The sequence below is a fragment of the Homo sapiens genome, chromosome 8 (assembly GCF_000001405.40).
Source record: "Homo sapiens chromosome 8, GRCh38.p14 Primary Assembly".
NCBI lineage: Eukaryota > Metazoa > Chordata > Mammalia > Primates > Hominidae > Homo > Homo sapiens.
In genome coordinates this window covers 96453203-96475705 of record NC_000008.11, presented here as the reverse complement: position 1 = coordinate 96475705, position 22503 = coordinate 96453203, and the positions used below count along the sequence as shown (strand labels likewise).

Genomic DNA, 22503 nt, shown 5'->3' with positions numbered 1-22503 from the left:
ACCTGTAGTCCCAGCTACTCGGGAGGCTGAGACGGGAGAATCACTTGAACCCAGGAGGCGGAGGTTGCAGTGAGCCAAGATTGCACCACTGCACTCCAGCCTGGCAATTGAGTGAGACTCACTCTGTCTCAAAAAAATAAAAATAAATAAAAAACAAAACTTGCCTGTGTGCTATCTTCAATTCTAGAAACACCCCCATTTTGAGTTTTGTGTTTATCATGTTTTGTATATACATAAACAATATGTTGTTTAGTTTTGCTTATTTTATATCTCAAACTTGCTGTTCTCACTCATTATTATGTTACTCAAATTCATTTATGTTCTGGTGGGTAGCTATGGTTCACTTGTCCTGTTGGGTGACTATGTCACAGAATATCTATTCTGCTAGTGTGAATATCAGTTTTTGCTGTTCATAGAGATATGGATGTTGAGGTAGAACACAAGAATATGCCTAGGAGTAGAATTGCTGGGTCATGAGATATGGGAATGTTTAACTTTACAAGATAATGCCAAATTGTTTTTCCAAAATGGATGTAGCAATTTACATTCCTGCCTGCAATCCTGTTGAGTCCCATCCTTCTGAAACTCGGTGTCAAATTAATTTTTGCCAATTGAAAGGGTATAAAATGGTATCTCATTGTGGTCTTGATTTGCATTTCCTTTTTAACTAATAAACTTGAGCATCTCTTCAAATGTTGCTTTGGCCATGTATATTATCTCTTCTGTGAAATGCCTTTCCATTACTTTTGGGTAGGCCTCTATTAGGTTATTTGTCTTTTCCTTATTAACTCTTATTAGCTTTATATACTTTAAAACTATTATTATCTATTATGTGTGTTACAAATACCTTATCTCAATATGTACCTTATCTTTTCACTTTTGAAAGGTCTCTTTGATGAGCGGAAGTCCTTTATTTTAATCTAGTCAAAGTTGTCAAGCTCTTATTTTATGACCAGTGCATTTGGATGTACTCTTTCAAAGATCCATGGTCAGAAAGTTTTAAAGTTTTACATTTGACATGTAAATCCTTAAACCATTTAGAATTGATTTTTGTGTTTGATATGAAGTAGGGATCCAATTTCACTTATTATTGTTTTTCTCTTTATAAATCACATTTCCGTATTCTCCGTTTTTCAGGTAGAAAGATTGACAGAGTGCCTAAGAAGAAAACCTCTCAATATATATTTTTCTCATTAGAGTCAAAGATGAGAAGACCAAGTCACCCATTTATGAGAACACAAATCTAATGAACTGCCCAGAGATTTATCGTCAGATTATAGGAATGGGAAGGGCTTTCGGAGTTGTAGAATTCATCACTCAGTCTCCAGAGACACTTCAACTAAATCACTTAGGACAAACAAATATTTGACTCATTTTAAGATTTCTCTGAGAAAAGATTTCTCATTCCAACATGTGATTGTTTTTGTTGAAAAGTTTCCCCTCAGCCTAGTCATGGAATTATGCTCATTTCCCTTATATTGACCCCTACAGGGAATTAACTTATTGTAATAATAATTTGCATGTGTAGCGCAAATCTCCCCAGACATTCTAACCCCAAATTAATTTAAGTTAATGTTGCAGATAAAGGTTTTGAACCTGACTCCATAAAGACTTTTACTGGCCTATAGAACATTTACCTCTCTTCTGGACTACGTCATCACATTGATGAGCCAATAGTAGTTATCATTAATGGCATAAAGAATATTGAGGTTCTTTTTTTTCAATTGAAAGACATTGCATTCAGTTGATGTGAAGGACCTCTTCAAGGAGAACTACAAACCACTGCTCAATGAAATAAAAGAGGACACAAACAAATGGAAGAACATTCCATGCTCATGGGTAGGAAGAATCAGTATTGTGAAAATGGCCATACTGCCCAAGGTAATTTATAGATTCAATGCCATCCCCATCAAGCTACCAATGACTTTCTTCACAGAATTGGAAAAAAAACTACTTTAAAGTTCATAAGGAACCAAAAAAGAGCCCACATTGCCAAGTCAATCCTAAGCCAAAAGAACAAAGCTGGAGGCATCACACTACCTGACTTCAAACTATACTACAAGGCTACAGTAACCAAAACAGCATGGTACTGGTACCACAACAGAGATGTAGACCAATGGAACAGAACAGAGCCCTGGGAAATAATGCCGCATATCTACAACTATCTGATCTTTGACAAACCTGACAAAAACAAGAAATGGGGAAAGGATTCCCTATTTAATAAATGGTGCTGGGAAAACTGGCTAGCCATATGTAGAAAGCTGAAACTGGATCCCTTCCTTACACCTTATACAAAAATTAATTCAAGATGGATTAAAGACTTAAACGTTAGACCTAAAACCATAAAAACCCTAGAAGAAAACCTAGGCATTACCATCGAGGACATAGGCATGGGCAAGGACTTCATGTCTAAAACACCAAAAGCAATGGCAACAAAAGCCAAAATTGACAAATGGGATCTAATTAAACTAAAGAGCTTCTGCACAGCAAAAGAAACTACCATCAGAGTGAACAGGCAACCTACAGAATGGGAGAAAATTTTTGCAACCTACTCATCTGACAAAGGGCTAATATCCAGAATCTACAATGAACTCAAACAAATTTACAAGAAAAAAACAGCCCCATCAAAAAGTGGGCGAAGGATATGAACAGACACTTCTCAAAAGAAGACATTTATGCAGCCAAAAAACACATGAAAAAATGCTCATCATCACTGGCCATCAGAGAAATGCCAATCAAAACCACAATGAGATACCATCTCACACCAGTTAGAATGGCGATCATTAAAAAGTCAGGAAACAACGTGCTGGAGAGGATGTGGAGAAAGACGAACACTTTTACACTGTTGGTGGGACTGTAAACTAGTTCAACCATTGTGGAAGTCAGTGTGGCGATTCCTCAGGGATCTAGAAATAGAAATACCATTTGACCCAGCCATCCCATTACTGGGTATATACCCAAAGGATTATAAATCATGCTGCTATAAAGACACATGAACATGTATGTTTACTGTGGCACTATTCACAATAGCAAAGACTTGGAACCAACCCAAATGTCCAACAATGATAGATTGGATAAAGAAAATGTGGCACATATACACCATGGAATACTATGCAGCCATAAAAAATGGTGAGTTCATGTCCTTTGTAGGGACATGGATGAAGCTGGAAACCATCATTCTCAGCAAACTATCACAAGGACAAAAAACCAAACACCGCATGTTCTCACTCATAGGTGGGAATTGAACAATGAGAACACTTGGACACAGGAAGGGGAACATCACACACCGGGGACTGTTGTGGGGTGGAGGGAGGGGGGAGGGATAGCATTAGCAGATATACCTAATGCTGAATGACGAGTTAATGGGTGCAGCACACCAACATGGCACATGTATACATATGTAACTAACCTGCACATTGTGCACATGTACCCTGAAACCTAAAGTATAATAATAAAAAAAAAGACATTGCATTCAGTTTAATTTTGTCTAAGCCTAATCCAATTTATTTTTAGCTCTAATGAACCTAGGAGAGAGAGTAAATATACAGCTGGAACTAGAAACAATAATTGTTCTAAACAATAACAACAGCAACAACAACCAAAAACTAAATTACAAACTGAATTTAAATCTAATTCTCAGGTTTTTAGATAACAGGAAAACAAGGGGGAAAATAATTAAATAGGCAGTAGTTCCGTTTTAGTCAACTATGCACTGAAAACAGAACAAGAAAGCCCTTCGTGCAATTCAAATACAAGATCATACTCTTGGATATTTTATCTGATAATAAATATAAGTATCTTCTTATTTATAAAGTATTAAGACAAAAATAAGCCAAGAAACCTACCCAAACCTGATAATTTTAAGAAAGGCCATACATTCTTTCATCTCTTCCCACTATGTATGTTCTGATATTCTTCTTCCCTGTAAGATTTTCTTCTTGGTACCTTTCAATTTGCTCATCTTTAACATTCTCACTGTAGACCCTTTGTTATAGACTAAAGGATACTATTTTTTAAAGTGCAGGGCTTGAATTAGAGTTCTTCTGTTCCTCTTTAGTAGTCTCAGTATAGTTATCCAAGAGTAACTTATAAAGGCACTTATCAGTTTGTTACTGGTAGGGTCTTGACTATGCATCATCCACATTCTTGGCATTTTGAATGAAGCAACGAAAGCATAGATTTATTGAAACGAAAGTACCTGCCACAGAGTGGTAGCAGGCTGGAGCAAGGGGCTCAAGAGACTTGGTTACAGAATTTTCTGGGGTTTAAATACCCTCTAGAGATTTCCCATTGGTTACTTGATTATACCCTATGCAAATGAAGACTTGGCCAGCGACCAGTCTGATTGGTTGCAGTAGGGGACCAATTAGAGGTACTTTCTATTTTTCATCTGCAATAGTGGAGGGGGGCAGATAGCAAAGGGGGCAGCCTTATCCTGGCTAACACGGTGAAACCCCGTCTCTACTAAAAATACAAAAAGTTAGCAGGGCGTGGTGGCGGGTGCCTGAGGTCCCAGCTACTCGGGAGGCTGAGGCAGGAGAACGGCATGAACCCAGGAGGTGGAGCTTGTAGTGAGCCAAGATCACGCCACTGCACTCCAGCCTGTCCTTTTGATTCAGTTCTAGGAAGTAAGTGTGAGTTGGCCTTAGGTTCTTTTCCTCCAGACCCTATTCTCCTGCCTCAAGTTTAGGTGGAAATTGTTGACAATGGCTTTATTGCTTTTATGTACAATAGAAAATAGTAATGCACATTTAGGGGTGGGGGAAAGAAGATATATAAGCATTTACTTATTTTTGTTAGAAAATCTCTTGTGTAGTAATATTGCTAATAGCGATCTAAATGAAGGCTCAGTTGAGGCCATCATAAAACTATTCAAATATTGAAATACACTTTTAAACTCTAAAACTGAAAGCTACATTCTCTCATAATTAGTAAATGAACTAGAGGTTATATTTCTGTTTTCATTTTATGTTCAAACATGTGTACTCACAACTTTTCCCCCAAATTAGAAGCTATACAAGCTCTTTTGGGTTCCCATCAAAGAGTTCTTAATTTCCTGCTTTGCCTATGCCATGAATGTGATGAGTTTTGAACAAATCATTCTATTTTTCATTCATTTAGTTAATATGTTAAATAGAGATTACCAGCACACTTTGCAAGCCTTTGTCATAAATAAAAATAGTTGAGAATGAGTAAGTACTACATGCTATGTTTACTAGCACAATTCCTTATTTTCCCTTAAAGTAGTTTGTAAGGCATCTGGGTTCTGGTCTATCACTATTCTTGGTTTAGAACTAAAAAGAATAAGGTAAAGAATCCTAGAAAAGACTCTGTAAACAAAGAAAGGTCCCAAAATATATATTATTGTATATTTTTAAGAGACGAATAGGAAGAAGGAGTAAAAGTATCTTTTCTGTCCTTTTCTTCCAAGTTTCAACTTTATACCCTAAAAATACAAAAATCAACTAATTACATTGGAGACTCAATGAGTAAGTGTCAACACAAATGCCAGTGTGTTTCTAAGTTGGAAATTAACAGAGGGCAGGTCAGGAGTAGCTTCTCTTCCATCCCTCCCAAGTTCCACCTTTGATGCCTAAGCACCTCTGTCCCAGGGAGGACCTGCAGCCTTTCACCGGGCCATGACTGGGGCAATCTCCCCAGGCCAGGCTGTCCCTGGTTACCCTGTAGGCCTGGAGGAGCCTGGTTCCCTCACTGAGTCAGCTCAAGGCAGGTCCCACAATTCAGTTTGGTCTGTGTTTAGCTCTTGGCAACTGCTCAGAAAAAATAGAAAGGTGGTGGATAAGATGGAAGGGGCTAGAGAAGCAAAGGGATGGTGGAGAATCACTAATTGTCATTTTCTTGTCCTCTCCAATGGCAAGTGATTGGTCATTGTCAGTTGCTCCTTTCATGGAACACTTTTATGTCCTGGGGAGAACACTGTCCTTTAGATTTGTTGTCTGGACCTCCACTGGAGTATGTAGTCAGTGTCTTTCAGTGAATTTGTCCAACTTTTCAGTGAATCCAAGAAACAGTGCTCTTTCAGTTCCCAGGGTAGCTTGCCAATGGCCATTAGTTATTTTGTTTTAAAGAAAAAAAAGCAATATATCGGGATGAGGAGAGGCAACATTTATATGGATGATATGAAAGAGAAGAGTGTAAACTGAGGTAGGAGTTGTCTTGGATAGTAGGGGAAGTCAGGAAGAAACATAAATATGTAAATGACAGAAAATGCAATGACAAAAACTCATAAACACTATGGTCATAGACACTATGGTAATAAATGCTTACATATTAAACAATATATCACCTAAAGGAAAAATAGAAAGATAATAGTATGAATTGCTGAGATGTCTCAAAATTTAATGGTTTATTTAGTCTTTTTTCTGTTTTTCTCTCACTCTTCAGGAAAAACTACAAATATAATTTTGCTTGTCTCGGAAACTTTTTATTGGGTTTCTAGTTGCACCAAAAATTTGAGCTTTTAAGTTTTACTTTTAAGATCTAGGACATACGGAGGCCTTAAGGGTTAGAAGTCATTGTGCCTTTTTTTTTTTTTTTTTTTTTGCAGTAAATGAATTGACTTTGTGGCAATTAAGGCCGGGTTGAAAATAGCATTACACATTCTGTGTGCATAGGACACAATGACATCTGAAGGTGACCGATAGAACAAAGCCTGGTCTAAATGTGTGCTGTTTTCATGAGGTGAGTGCAGGCTGAATGTTGGCTCAGCCCATTCTGTGAGGCTTTCCTTGCTCTTCCAGCCCAACCCTCTTCTTCCTCCGCAGCCCCACAGCTCCTTAGTGTTTCTTGGGCTACCTGTCACGTGCCTACACAGCTGCCAGTGTCTTGAGGCCTCAGACCACATTTTAGGTCACATTCCCTTAAAACAAAACAAAACAAAAAGCCCATGACAAAACTTTGTGCGCATGTGTGTGCATGTGACATATCGAGAGAGCTCTCTCAGGAGACATCCACAGGGGAGGGAGGCAGCAGGATAAGGAAGGGAAAGGACATGGCTCCCAACAGGTCTTTGTGAGCTCTGGAGCATAAATTATGCTGCAGAGTCTGTCCTGCCTTGAGACTGGGAGCAGGACTTTAATACCCTCCTCCAGGGGTTCCTGGCCACGCATGAAGTCATCTCAGCTCTGAGCACGGTGGCTTCCATTGCCCAAAGGCAATTCTCCGGACATGTTTGCAGGGGTGAGCCTTCAGCCAAGCATCCACAAAAGCTGGGGAGACAAGCATACCAACCAACAGTAAAAGGGATTCAAGGGATCCGGCTGGAGCACCAGCATCTTCTGCCCCAGAGAGGACCCACTTAGCAGAAATCTGCATGGATTATGACTGAGGAGCAGAATCTGGCAGCATGGACTACTCAAGACCTAGGATCAGATGATGATAGTAAGAGTAATCAATATAGGGCTAGGAGCAGGGGCTCACGCCTGTAATCCCAGCACTTTGGGAGGCCGAGGTGGGTGGATCACTTGAGGTCAGGAGTTCAAAACCAACCTGGGCAATACAGTGAAACCTCGTCTCTACTAAAAATGCAAACATTGACTGGGCGTGGTGGGTCATGCACTTTGGGAGGCCAAGCACTTTGGGAGGCCAAGGCAGGCAGATCACCTGAGGCCAGGAGTTTGAGACTAGCGTGGCCAACATGGTGAAACCCCATCTCTATTAAAAATACAAAAAGTTAGTCAAGCATGGTGGCGGGTGCCAGTAATCCCAGCTACTCAAGAGGCTGAGGCAAGAGAACTGCTTGAACCCAGGAGGCGGAGGTTGCACTGAGCTGAGATTGCACCACCGCACTCCAGCCTGGGCGACTGAGTGAAACTCCATCTCAGGAAAAATATAAATAAATAAACAAAAATTAGCTGGGTGTAGTGGCGGGCGCCTGTCATCCCAGCTACTCGAGAAGCTGAGGCAGGAGAATTGTTTGAACCCTGGAGGCAGAGGTTGCAGTGAGCCGAGATTGCACCACTGCAGCATGGTGGCTTCCCTTAAGGCCTCCGTATGTCCTCCAGCCTGGACAACAGAGCAAGAGTCCATCTCAAAAAATATATATATATAAATAATTTTTTAAAAAATCACCATAATAGCTAATACTTATATACTGTTTACTACATGCCAGGCACTGTACTAAGCCCTTTTGTTAAATGAACATATTTAATCCTCACAGTAACCTGATGAGGTAGGTACTGTTCTTCCCAATTTACAGATGAGGAAATTAACACTCAGAGAGGTTGCATCCCTTCACTAAGGGTAACTGCAAACAGGTGACTGAGCTGAGTTCTGAATCCAGGTGGTTTCTCTCCCGAGTCCCTGTACTCTGTGGCCTCTTTGTAGCCCCATTTCCTTTCCAATCCAGAATTCAGCCACCACTGCCAGGAGAGTGGCAGTGGGGTGTGTATTAGTCTCCTATGACTGCTATAACAAATTACCACACTTGGCGGAGTAAAACAACACAAATGTATTATCTTACAGTTCCAGAGGTCGGAAGTCTCAAATGGGTTCCACTGGACTAATCTCAAGGTGTCAGCAGAGCAGCGTTTCTTCTGGAAGCTCTGAGGGAGAATCCAGTTTTGTTTTGGTGGGGTTTTTTGGTTTGTTTTTATTTTTGTTATTTTTTGTTTGTTTGTTTTCATTTTCCAAATTCTAGAAGCCGCCTGCATTTCTTAGCTTATGGTCCTTTCTTAGCTTATGGTCCCTTCTCCCTTCTTCAAGGCCAGCAGTGTAGCATCTTCAAATCTCTCTCTCTCTAACCCTGACCCCCATTTCTGTTGCCATATCTTCTTTGACTCTCCTGCCTCCGCCTTTCACTTACAAGGATGCTTGCGATTACACTGGGCCCACCCAGGTAATCCAGGATATTTTCCCTATCTCTCTATCTTTAAATTAATCATGTCTTCAAAATCTCCTTTGCCATGTAAGGTAACATATTCATAGCTTCTAGGAATTAGGACCCAAGCATCCCTGGGGGCCATTATTCTGCCTACTGTAGAGTGGCAAGGAGTTGTCTCAGATTTCATTTTGGCCACTTAACCCAGCAGAAGGAAAGTTCAAGATATATTTTAAGTTTAATTATGGAAGAATAAAGCCACATTTCTTTCACATCTGAATTGGTAACCTGAGATTCATATCTGGTAATATGGTTTGTACATGTCTTATAAGCTACATCCATTAACTTATTTATTCATTCATTCATTCGCTTAACAAGCATTTATCTACTGCATACGTGGACTGTTTCATGAGATAAATTATCTTCTGTAGTGTTTTAGCCATTTTACATCTGGGGGACACTTTGCTACTGGGATCTAGGCTACCCCAAATACTACAATTAAATTTGATAATACAATTTTAGATGTGAGCACACAGAGGTTAGTTACTCTAAGTCAGATTCCTTGTTGCTATTCCTTATTATTTGGGTTAGATTGTTTGTAATTTTCTTTTTTTCTTTTTCTTTTTTCTTTTTTTTTTTTTTTGAGGTAGAGTCTCACTCTGTCGCCCAGGCTGGAATGCCGTGGTGCAATCTCAGCTCACTGCAACCTCCGTCTCCTGGATTCAAGCAATTCTCCTGCCTCAGCCTCCTGAGTAGCTGGGATTACAGGCATGTGCCACCACGCCCAGCTAATTTTTGTATTTTTAGTAGAGACAGGGTTTCACTATGTTGGTCAGGCTGGTCTCAAACTCCTGACCTTGTGATCCAACCTCCTTGGCCTCCCAAAGTGGTGGGATTACAGGCACGTGCCACCATGCCTGGCTAATTTTTGTATTTTTAGTAGAGACGGGGTTTCACCATGTTGGCCAGGCTGTTCTTGAATTCCTGACCTCAGGTGATCCACCCACCTCAGCCTCCCAAAGTGCTGAGATTACAGGCGTGAGCCACCACGCCCAGCCAGGTTGTGACTGGATTATTTCACTTAGCATTATGCCCTCAAGATTCATCCACGTTGTAGCATGTGTCAGAATATTCTTCATTTTTAAGACTGAACGTTATCTCATTGTGTGTATATGCCACATTTTGTTTATCCATTCATCCATCGGTGGACATTCGGTCTACCTATCTGTAATTCTTTCAGAACCTAGGAGGCTTCACTGCAAAAGAAAGGTTCTACAGGTAATATTTTAGATCAATTCTATTTCTCTACCTCCAACAGACCTTCCTTACCAACCACATTCTAATTCTGAAATAACACACTCAGGTATTTAGATGATAGTTGAATCGATGCATGAATAGATACAATGTAAGGTTTTATTTGTTTAAAAAAACAAAGCACTTGAGTAGTCACTAGTACATTTCCCGCACATTTTGATGTGCCATGTAGAAAAACAAATCTACTCAAGAAATCAGTTGAAAATATGATTAATGAAGAGCATTACTGTAAGATATAAGGCCTGAAGTTGACATCAGAACATCTACAATTATATTCATTACTCTGAAATTTTGCATTTGCCTCATGCTGAAGAACAGAATACAATTTTATAGCTCTATTATGATTGCACATAGCTTTTTGCTCTGTTATCTCAAAGAGAAGGCCTATAATTTATACCTCCTATCCTTAAAAAGATATTTTTCAGCTTTACATTAAAAGAGAAAAAGAACGTTTCAAACGCTGATTTAGGTCAGAAGTTAAAGTTGTTTCATCAACTCAACAATTAATGAAACTTGGATTTTGATTATGAAAGAACAGTGTCACTTCATTTTTGATGTCCATCCTACAGAAATATTGGTAAATGTATACAAGGTTGTGTGAACAAAGATATCTGTTGGATTACTGTTTATGTAAAGAAAATAGAAGTGTCCGAAATATCCAACAATAGGAGAATGGTTATATGGATCATGGTACATTGAACTACAGACTAATATGTGACCATTTATAAGAATGTAACAGTCACTATATCCTTACCTGGAAATAGCTCCAAATGTATTGTTATGTTAAATAAAAAGCAAGCTGCAGATTAATACATACGATACTCTTTTATTCAGCCCATCTTTGTTGAAAATCAACCACCTAATAGCTAATTGTGAGGATTTAATGAAGTATAATTCATGTAAAGCTTCCATAGAACACAGCCCACACATATATCAAGTGCTCCACAATGTTAGCTATTTTACTAGATAATATTTTGCTTATAAAGTAGCAGAATAATAAAATAAGCAGAATAACCTCCAAGAATAAGTCTCCAAGATATGATGTTTCCATTCCTTTAAGCAATAAAGTGAAATCGTGGACTTGGTCTTCATCATCCCCTTTTCTGCTTTGTGGACCTGCTTCTCTTCGGATTTCCAGGGTCCTTGGGCTATAGTACCTGCATCCTTTCATGGGTCATACCCTATCTACTCAGGATGCCTCATGAGGCCCTTATTCAGGTGTCTCATCTTTGAGCAGAGGATAAAATATTTATCTTTCCTGTGTTCCAGCCCCATTAATATACTGACTGAATTACTAGCTAACCAAAAAAGCTAATCTATATCAGATCTATGAGTCTTTGCTAAGGATTCTCATTTTTCACAAAGATGTCTACATTTAACAGCATATTTTGGAGACACTCTCATCTTATGGCATCATTGTCTGCCATTCTGGGTTCAGAGTGCAGAGAGAATGAGTTGTACAATCTGGGTTCTGCAATCACATGGCCTGGCTTGGAAGCCCAAATCCACCATGTATTCTTAGTTCTGCAATTTAAGGCAAATTACTTACTTTTCCTAATTCCATTTTCTCCATTTGTAAATACAGAATAATACACATTTTTTAAAGGTCCTTGGAAGGATTATTAGGATAATAGATGTGAGGCATGTAGCATAGTGTGGGGCATACAGAGTACATTCACCAACTCATAAAGATATGACTGTCTACATAAATCAGTGAACATCTAGACAATTTCATATTCCCTCTCTCTCTAATGTGTGTGGTAGTCTCATCTGCTTATTACAGCTATAAATTCCTTGAATATGGCACTCTGCCTTCTATTTAAGATTTACCCCCATAGCTAAGGTGATTTGGTGCTGAGATTTTCCAGGGAATCTTTTTTGTCCCCTTTGAAAGATCAAGGTGTGGACCATGTATCAGCTTTCTAGACTGGACAGTATGGCCAGAAGAATAACATAGAAATTAAGACTGTGCTTCCTGGAGTCCAACAGACAGAATTCTGCCACATATTCACTGTGTGATCTTAGGCAGATTATTTAATTCCAATAAATCTGAATTTCCTAATATGTGTATGTGACTAGTAAAAATTCCTAACTCATAAGGGTTAGTATGAGAGTTCAATATGATTGTGTATATAAAAAAAAAGTAGCAGGGTTGCTGGCATATAATACATGCTGATAAATGTTAACTGATAACATCCTCCTCCTCCTTACCTGAATGCTAGAAAACCTAGCCCTAATGCTTAGCGTATAGTTCTCATTCCTTCATTTGGACAATGGCTTAATGAGTGCCAACTACGCCAGGAACTGTAATAGGCACTTTAGAATATAAAGATGAATGAGTGTGTTCCTATAATCATGTTGCTCACTAAATGATGAAGGAGACTGACAGACAACATGGTAAGTTAAACGATGAGAGTGGTAATGCAGGAGGAAGAATAGAAGGAAATCAATACATTTTCCTGATGAATTCAATGGGCTTAAATGTGCTCACTGCAAAGGCTGACCCACCATCTCTATTTCCTTCCAGAACATAAAAGTGTATTTTGTCCAGGCCCAGGGAAAACACTGTACTCCACTATCTGCCTGTTAGTAGAGGCTTCCTGGCAGGGCTTTCAGGGCAAGTGAGATTATGACACAGAAAGACATATTCTCAAAATGGCAGAACCCTGTGGTTGCCCTCTGAGCCCCTATGCTGGACGTGGCTGCTTTGCTCAGGTCTGGGGCAGGCCCTCCATTCATTCACTCATTTATTCGTTCATTCATTCATTCTTTCATTCAGGGAGTGAATGGTCTCTGGGTCACTCTCTTATTAACGTGGGTGGTTGGGCTCCTACATAAACATGTGTATGCCTAGCATGTTCCATGTTCACAAACACTCAAAACCTTCTGTCAATGATTTCCTTTTTTAACGGTTTGTATATCTTCTATGTTTACATATTATGATGCTGTATACAGGCTTTTGTGTGTAGAGAAGAGGGCACATGATTCAAGCCTTGGATTTCCCACTAGCTTTCTGGGCAATACTGCTCTCATCTGTAAAAAGGGAGGTGATAACACTGGCCCTGCCTCCCTCCCATACATATCAGGATTCAAAGAAGGAAGCACATTCTGGAGTAAAGAAAACTATATACATTTAAGTCAATGTTATTGTTATTACTAAAATGAATACCTTTTTAATTTATCACTGTTTCTTTTCTTAAATAATAGAAAAATCAGTGAAAAAAATCAATGGAGAAATGTTCTCAATTTGCCAGTTGCTTGTCAGTATACATGTTTAGTAAGGACACACTAAAAATATCTTGTACAAAGGGATGCCTCAGAATGTTCAAAGGGGATGCGCCTACAGCATCAGGGTGCAGTGAAACATTTGTCAGTCAGCGACAGGCTTTGCAGAAAGGCCTCATCTATGCAATGATATAGCACTTTATTACAGATGCTAAATGGGATCATTGCTTATAGAGATCCTGAATGTGGTATTTTAATAAAGCAGAAGACAGCTGGCCTCTGTTAACCAGACAGGAGGACATGAGTGGATGATGACTTTGATCTCTGAAGAAATTTATAGAGTGGGATAAGAAAGGAAGAAGGGGAAAGAGCAATAATATCAAAGCAAGAAACATCCATTAACAAGGAGCTAGGGCAAGAAAAAGATTCCAAGTCCAGTTCCCTGCCTCTGTCCAGGGAAATGAATCTAAATTCCATCACAAAAACACTATATTGAGCGACAATGGTTCCAGAATTCCCCACGGATACCAAAATCTATGCATGCACAAATCTCTTACATAAAATGATAATGTAGTATTTGCATACAACCTATGCATACCCTTCCGTATACTTTAAATCACTCTAGATTACGTATAAAATATAATACAATTTAAATAGTTGTTATACTATATTGTTTTCTGTTTTTATCATTTTTATTGTTTTTTTTTTTCCAAATATGTTCAACCCCCAGTTTGTTTAATCTGCAGATGTGGAACTCATGTATATGGGGGGCTGACTGCATATGAATATTTGGGTCTTGCCAGAGCAGAAAACTGCTGTAAAACTTGTAACTCTATAAACCTTGACATACTCATTTTTGAGCATGGAAGGATTCAAACTATATACATGTTTGTTATAGTATAGTTAAATCTAATCATGAGGTGAAATTTGCATTTGGGGAAATAATAGTTAGAGTCGCTATTTTAATTCCTGTGCAGCATTCACACTGAGGCCACACTTTTCCCAGACTTCTCCAAGCCAATGACTAGCACAGTGGAGTAGAAGAGCCTGGTGATTTCTGCCCAAAATGGGACACCTCTACTGGGAAACTTTTGCTCTGGAATTCCCCCATAACCTTGGCTGAGACTTTCTCAGAGCTAAACTACAGACTAAGTCTCTTCTTACTCAAGCCTCTTTCCTTCCCTTCTCCTTTTGCTGGGGTCAGACCAGCCTCACATCTGAAATATTTCCCTGTTAGACCAGCTCCCTCTTCTCTTTATCCTCCACAGCCATTCCTCCCAATAAATCCATCGCACTTCTAAATCCACCTGCTTTCTGGTGAGCCTGAACTGACACATATCCTCAAAGGTTTGTTGTGAAGATTAAATGAGATCATGCATGTAAAGTGCTTGTCATGATGTTGGAATCATAGCAAAAGCTCATTGAGAACGAGTTGAATTTTGAGAAAGAAGAATACAGTTGGAAGAATCACACAATTTGATTTTAAAACTTATCATTAAGCTACAGTAACCAAGAAATGAGGGTATTGATGAAGGAATATAGATGCACAAATCAATGGAACAGAATAGAGAGTCCAGAAATAGAGCCACTTCAATATATCCAATTGATTTTTTACACAGGTGCAAAAGCAATTCAATGGAGAAAGGATGATCTTTTCCAACAAATGGTGTTGGAACAATTGGACATTCATAAACAAAAAAAATGAGCCTTGACCTAACTTTATATCTTACACAAAGCTTATCTTACACAAAGATCTTTCAAAGATCTATATGAAAAATCTAAAACTATAAAACTTTTAAAAAAAGAACACAGGCAAAACTATAACATGGGGTTAATTCTTAGACATAAAGGAATGACTCATAAAAGAAAACAATCATACATTAGACTTCATCAAAACTTTTTACCCTTGAAATGTACTGTTAAGAGAACGAAAAGACAAGCTGTAGACTGGGAGAAAACATTGGTAAATTAAATATCCTGCAAATGACTTAATATCTAGAATATATAAGAATCCTCAAAATCAACAGTAAGAAAACAAACAAATCAATTAAAAGCCAGGAAAGACAAACAGATACTTCACTAAAGTGGACATATGGATGGCAAATAAGCAAATGAAAAGATACCCAACATCTTTAACCATTAAGGAAATGCAAATCAAAATCACAATGAGGTATTGCTACATACCAAGTAGAATGGTCAAAATAAAAAAATACTGACAATACCAAGTGCTGGGAAGGATACAGAACAACCAGAACTCTCAGACATAGCTGATGAGAATGCAAAATAGTCAAGCTATGCTGATGCTTCCATATAAAGTTAAATATAGGTTTATCATATGACTCAGCAATTCCACTCCTAGGTATTTACCCTAGAGAAATGAAAATGTGTGCATAAAAAAAATCTGTACACAAATATTTATAGCAGCTCTACTCTCAATTGTCTAAAAACAACCCGAATATCTTTCAACAAGTGAATGCATAAACTGTGGTGCATACATACAATGGAATACTACTCAGCAATGAAAAGGAGAAAACAATTAATACATGCAACAACTTGGATGCATCTCAAAAGCACTATGCAGAGTGAAGGAAGTCATTCTCAAAAGGTTATGCATTGTATGATCCATTTATGTGACATTCTCTAAAAGACAAAGCTATAGTGATAGAGAACTGATCAGTGGCCCAAGGATATGGGTGAGGGGAGGATGTGACTACTAATGGGCAGCCTAAGGGAATTTTTCTGGAGTGATAGAATTATTCTGCATCCTGACTGTGGTAGTGTTACCGAGAAATCAATGGGCTTGCTGCCTGATGTACACAGAGGTGAATACCATGGCACTCACTTTTGAGCAAAAATTCTTTATTTGGCAAGGAGACAGGAGGAAATGCCCCAGTGTGTCTCCCCAAGCTGGGTTTGGGTCAGGTTTTATAAACATAGGGTAATGAGGTGTGATCTGGTTGGATCTTGCAATGAAGTGATGCTGGGAGGCATGATCTGACTGGATCCTGCTATCGACCGTGGGGCAATGCCAGAGCTCGATCTGATTGGATCCTGGATCCTGACATGCAGTGTCTGCTTCTTAATTCAGTCTCTGCTCCTCAGTCTGGGCACTTAGGTTCCCCCTGTGATTGCACACTTGGTTCATCTGGGCATGCTCAGGTTACATGACCTTCATCCTGGGGGTCTATGGCAAATGAAAAACAACTCACAACATTGTTGCATAAAAGTTGAGCCAGTGGCTGGGCACAGTGGCGCAAACCTGTAATTCCAGCACTTTGGGAGGCCGAGGCGGGCGGATCACCTGTGTCAGGAGTTCGAGACCAGCCTGGCCAACATGGCGAAACACCGTCTCTACTAAAGTATGAAAAAAAAAAATTAGCCAGGCATGCTGGTGGGCACCTACTGCAATCCCAGCTGCTCGGGAGGCTGAGGCAAGAGAATCGCTTGAACCTGGGAGTCGAAGGTTGCAGTGAGCCAAGATTGCACCACTGTACTCCAGCCTGGGTGACAGAGTGGGACTCTTGGCTCAAAAAAAAAAAAAAAGTTGAGCCAGATTGATCTGGTGTGGTTACCGTAGTGGTTACATGAATCCATACTGTATTAAACTTCATACCATTATGTACCAAAAAAAGGTTGATTTTACTGTATGATAATTTTTAAAAATGAAGTTAAAAAAATTTGGTCATTGATATAAATATTGATATCATTGAGTGTTTATTATATAAATAATAGTTGTTATTGATTATTGTCTACTTGTTTTACGTATTCCTAGTTTTTACTTCCCCCACCCTGCTAAACCTCTACTCAAGCTCATGCCAACTCTCTCTTGCTGTTGGCATGCTAAAACCTCATTCAATCCTGAAGTAAATCTAGGAATATTTTCTTCAGAAAATTGGTTCCGCAAAGGATAGCTAAAAATGCTGTTAACTTTCCCGAGTTAATAATGATGACGATGATGATGATGCAGATTATGATAACAGCATTCTGAAACTCTGAAGTGTTTTCCCAATGGTTCATATGTGTAGGACAAGTTATTAACAGTAACTCTTCTTCCTGGCATGAAAGCCAGCAAGTCATGGCTCAAAATGGGGTGAGGACTTCCAGAGGGGTGCCTTTGGACTAAAGGATTATTTTTGCTTCCTGGGAAGACTCTCGATGGGTCTGCGTGGCGGGGTGGAATTATAGAAATAACTATAAGGATTGATTCATCTCTTTTTCTTTCCTTTTTTTTTTTTTTTTGTGACGGACTTTGGCTCTCGTTGCCCAGGCTGGAGTGCAATGGCACGATCTCAGCTCACCGCAACCTCTGCCTCCCGGGTTCAAGCGATTCTCCTGCCTCAGCCTCCCGAGTAGCTGGGATTACAGGCATGCGCCACCACGCCTGGCTAATTTTGTATTTTTAGTAGAGACAGGGTTTCTCCATGTTGGTCAGGCTGGTCTCAAACTCCTGACCTCAGGTGATCCACCCACCTTGGCCTCCCAAAGTGCTGGGATTACAGGCATGAGCCACCATGCCCGGCCAATCCATCTCTTTTTCACTTATTTTCTGATTATGCCCACTCTTCATCAGTTGCTGACTTGCTTCTGAAAACTAGGCAATCCTGTCTACCGGGTACCTGCTGGATTGCAGATGGTTTGCCTTGGTTGAGTGATGGAACACTCATCCAGTGATGAAGACTGGCATGGGGGCTCCCAGGGCACCAATTGCATGAATCAAATGTAGCCAATTAACTGTCTTTTCCCCCTTTGGATAGTCCTATTATTTTTCTCAAAAGCACATCCACCTCATCTACCTACCAACCACAGAACCACTCTGAGTTCGGAGTTCCTACGCAAGGGCAACAATTCTCTGGTTGAATTCAGAAGTCCACAAACCTTATTTACGCAGTCACTGGAAGTTCATCCACAGTTTTTAAGGAAAATTCACCAAGGATAGCAAGTGTGACTTTTGTGGGTACAGAGATCGCTGCGGGTGTCCCACTTGATGGTATTTTCCATGGCAGATACCTGAAATGCTTTCTCAGTGTTTTTTCCAAAGGCTGTGTTCAACAACAATGGTTATTCAAATTAACAAAGCTTAAACAACACTAAGTTACTATTCTTTTTATTTGTCAAGTTGGCAAAGCATGACCTTGGCCATGCCCTCGCTCTGCAAGTACACAGCTTGAGTGGACCCAGGGCCCCAGGTCCAGCCAAAGCCCTCTTCCTGCACACATATCCTCATGTTTTAACTTACTATTGTCTATTTACTTTATTTAATAAAGTTTACTGCTTTTCTATCATAAAAGCAATGTGTGCTTAGTATAGAAAAATATATAAAACACCAAAATATGTAATCAAGCAAAAGTATTCCCTGTAATCTCAACACTCATAGAAATCGCTGTCAAAATGTTGATAACATTCCTTAAAGTGTTTTTTGTAAGCAGTATTTTTTCCTGCTTTGAAGTAGAGTTAGGATGACATTAAATATAGTATTTTCTGGCTTTTATTTTCACAGAACCTCTCATCAGGCATAGCCTGTTTGTACCTATGTTTTCATTTTATTTAAGTAGGGAAGTACTCAACTCAACAATTCTTGTCCCAAATGATAGTTTTGACATCTCATCATTAAAAATTCATACCACCTACGCCTGCCTCACTGCCAGCTTCAATTCCTTGTTTTGTTAAAACTTTTGCATGCATGTTTTCTCTGTTCTCTGCCATAGGGAACTCCAGGGAGAGGGAAAGATAAACATTTATGTGGGGTTTTCACTTTCGGTTAAGAGCTTTATGGCTAACAAACTTCTTTCGCCTGTAAAAGGCCTCTTGGGATCAAATTCTGTTTCTTAGAGAGCTTCAGATGTGTCCATGCAACACCCTGGCATCCTTCCACCAACTTCCCAACACAGAGAGAAGATACACATCTGATTCTAGTGTTACCATCCTTATTAATGCCTCATTTCTTCGCTGGAATAACACCACCTGCCACAGCTTAGAGTTAAAGCCTTCCTCAGTGTTTCTTGTAGTACCCAAGAAAAACAAACACCCATTTGCTACAATCTTTCAAATCTGCTTCCTGAGAAATAATGACCACAGGGGATTCCAGCTGCTTCACAGGCTCTGAAATGGCATCAGCTTTAAAAATCTCCTTCAGACCTGTGCTCCAGAATTAGGAAAGAATGTGAAACTTTACTGTACACCCAAAGAGAATGCAGAAAAATACTAAGTGTTCTGAATTTACAAACAGGGTAAGGGATCATCAAGGCTCAACCTAAGTGCTCTCCTTCAGGGAAGGATTCCTGCAAGAGGTAATATCTGAGGAGAGGTATGAGGAATGAGTAGGAGTTAACCAGGGCGGGGTGGGGGCAAAGAGTGGGAACATCTTGGCAAATGTGTATGATATGATCAAAGGCACTGAGGCAAGAAGTGGGGAAGGAGAGGTGCAGAGGGAGAGCAGTAAGACCCAAAACCAGGGAACAAATCTCTCAGAAAAACCCCCACCAGTCTAGGCTGAGTGTAACTATTCTGTTGGGATTCACTGATGTGGGATTGTTGCTGCTTGCTACAATTTGCGCCATATTAAAATCCCAATATGTAAACTAAGATACAAACAAATGTATTTTTAGCAATTCTCACTTTTGAAACTTCCTTCTTTCCACATTTTCTCCTCAATAAGAACCTAGCTCCAAATAGTTTCCATCCTTTTTTGATGTAGAGTTGTATGTAAGTTTAGATTATTAGCAACGGTCTCACCCAACAGTAGGAGATAATCTGCTTATATTTGAATAAAGATATGAGCGTTTGTATGTGTATGTGTGTGTGTATGTGTAAGGTGACACAATAGATATGCTTTATCCATTGAACTTTATTCCCTAAGTACATTTTCATTGCTCTGTGGCTTGGCCCATGCTGTTCCCCATGCCTAGAATGCCATTCCTCCTATGCCTTCCCCATCTGATGAATCTTTGCTAATCTTTCAAACCCAATACCCACTCCTTGATGCCATTCACCATGGCCCAGGCAGCGTTCATTGTTCCAGCTGTCTTCCCAGAACATTTTCTATCAGTTTTGAACACTTAAGATGCTCAACTGTGGCTGGGCATTAAGATTGTTGGGGTTGTTTTGTAAAAAATACCTTTTCTTAGCTTTACCCCTCGAGATTCTGATGTCATTGGTCTGGGGTAGAGCCTAGGAATCAGTATTTTTAAAAAGCTCTCCAGATATTTCTAATGTGAATCAATATGGAGAACCAATACTTATCCTAAGAATCTATCTGTTGACCTGTCTTCCTCCCCTATTAGACTTTGTGATGGTTAATTTTATATGTCAATTTGGCTAGGCCATGGTACCCAGATAGATAGTCAAAACGATTCTAGCTGTTACTGTGGATGGACTTTTTAGTGAGATTAACATTTAAATCAGTAGACTTTGAGTTTCTTTGTTACAACCAAGAACCCTGACCAGCTGCAAACCCACACAGAAATAGAGAAGGAACCTTAGGGTAGGCATTTAGATCTTGCAGAAGAGAAAGCAAAAGCAAAACCACAGCTACGCTTGCTCAGAGAACAATTCAGGCACCACATGGCACCAATTACGACATTTTTCAGGATTAGTAAATCAGTACGAATTAAGCACAGATCACCTCCCATAATATGGGTGGGCCTTATCTAATCAGTTTAAGGCTTTTAGAGAAAAAGGTTGACACTCCTTCCCTCCACCCTCCAAGGAAGAGAGAATTCTGCCTCCAGACCATCTTTGGACTCAAGCTGCAACATCAACTCTTCCTTGGGGCTCCAGCCTTCAGGCCAACCATACAGATTTTGGATTTACCAGCCTCCATAATTGCATGAGCCATTTCCTTAAAATAACTCAGTCTCTCTCTGTCTCTGACACACTCTCTCTCTCTGTCTACATATATATATATGTATACGTACACACACACACTCGGATCTTATTGGTTCTGTTTTTCTGGAGAACCCTGACTAGTACAAACTGTGAGCCACTCCTGGAAGGCAGCTGTGGCTGATTCCTCTCCATTTCCCCAGGGCCCAGCACAGTATTGGGCACACAGATGGTACAGCACTTCTATTAGCCAGGGCTCTCTGGTTGCATGTAACAGAAACCAATTCAATTAGCTTGAATAAAAGGGGGAAATGAATAATGAGGACACCAGGGTGTCTTCCATGATCAGAGGGTGATATGGTTTGGCTCTGTGTCCTCACCCAAATCTCATCTTGAATTGTAATCCCCATTTATTGAGGGATGGAGGTGATTGGATCATAGGGGTGGATCCCCCATGCTGTTCTCGTGATAGTGAGTGAGTTTGCACGAGATCTGATGGTTTTATAAGTGTTTGACAGTTTTTCCTTCACACCTCTCCTACCGGCTGCCATGTAAGACATGCCTGCTTCCCTTTCTGCCATAACTGTATGTTTCCTGAGGCCTCTCCAGCCATGCAGAACTGTGAGTCAATTAAACCTTTTTTCTTTATAAATTACCCAGTCTTGGTCAGTTCTTTATAGCAGTGTGAAAACGGACTACAGAGGGCAAGGAAGTTCTTAGGTCTTAGTAAAAAGCACTGAGAGCTCATTAGGACTCTGACCCCATCTCTTATTCTTGCTTCTCTTTATTTCTCTTTCCCCTGCTTTCAGCTTTTCCCAACATGGCTTTACCTTTCTTCTGCAGCTCAGGATAAAAATCTTGGCATCATTCTTGATTCTTCTCTTTTTCTCACACTCCTCATCAATCAGTCTGCGAATCCTATCAGCCTGACCTTCAAAATATTTCCGAGTACAAATACTTCATCCTGTCATTATCAATACTAAGCCATTATCATCTCCTACGTGGAGTACTGCAATAGTGTGTCCGGAATTGGTGCGTTCTTGGTCTCACTGACTTCAAGAATGAAGCCACGGACCCTCGCGGTGAGTGTTACAGTTCTTGGAAGCAGCGTGTCTGGAGTTCGTTCCTTCTGATGTTCGGATGTGTTCAGCATTTCTTCCTTCTGGGGGGTTCGTGGTCTTGGTGGCTCAGAAGTGAAGCTGCAGACCTTCGCAGTGAGTGTTAACAGCTCTTAAGGCAGCGCGTCTGGAGTTGTTCGTTTCTCCCAGTGGGTTCGTGGTCTCACTGGTTTCAGGAGTGAAGCT

At 39.9% G+C, this 22503-nt stretch overlaps 1 long non-coding RNA gene across 1 annotated transcript in view, besides 1 other annotated feature; it reads right to left on the bottom strand.

The window, feature by feature from the left end:
- Positions 1-16285: 16285 nt before the first annotated feature.
- Positions 16286-22503, bottom strand: part of LOC105375653 (uncharacterized) — a 39647-nt gene continuing 33429 nt past the window's right edge. The window contains exons 4-5 of the long non-coding RNA XR_928432.2: positions 18254-18417; positions 16286-16562 (exon numbers count right to left, since the gene is read on the bottom strand). This is a non-coding gene — a long non-coding RNA (uncharacterized LOC105375653). The remainder of the gene's footprint in view (positions 16563-18253; positions 18418-22503) is intronic.
- Positions 20774-20843: an enhancer, noted in NCBI's record as "active region_27665". NCBI's record gives its function as "activates an Ori minimal core promoter by ATAC-STARR-seq in GM12878 lymphoblastoid cells {active_cell/tissue: GM12878}" and the evidence as "EXISTENCE:reporter gene assay evidence [ECO:0000049][PMID:35858748]".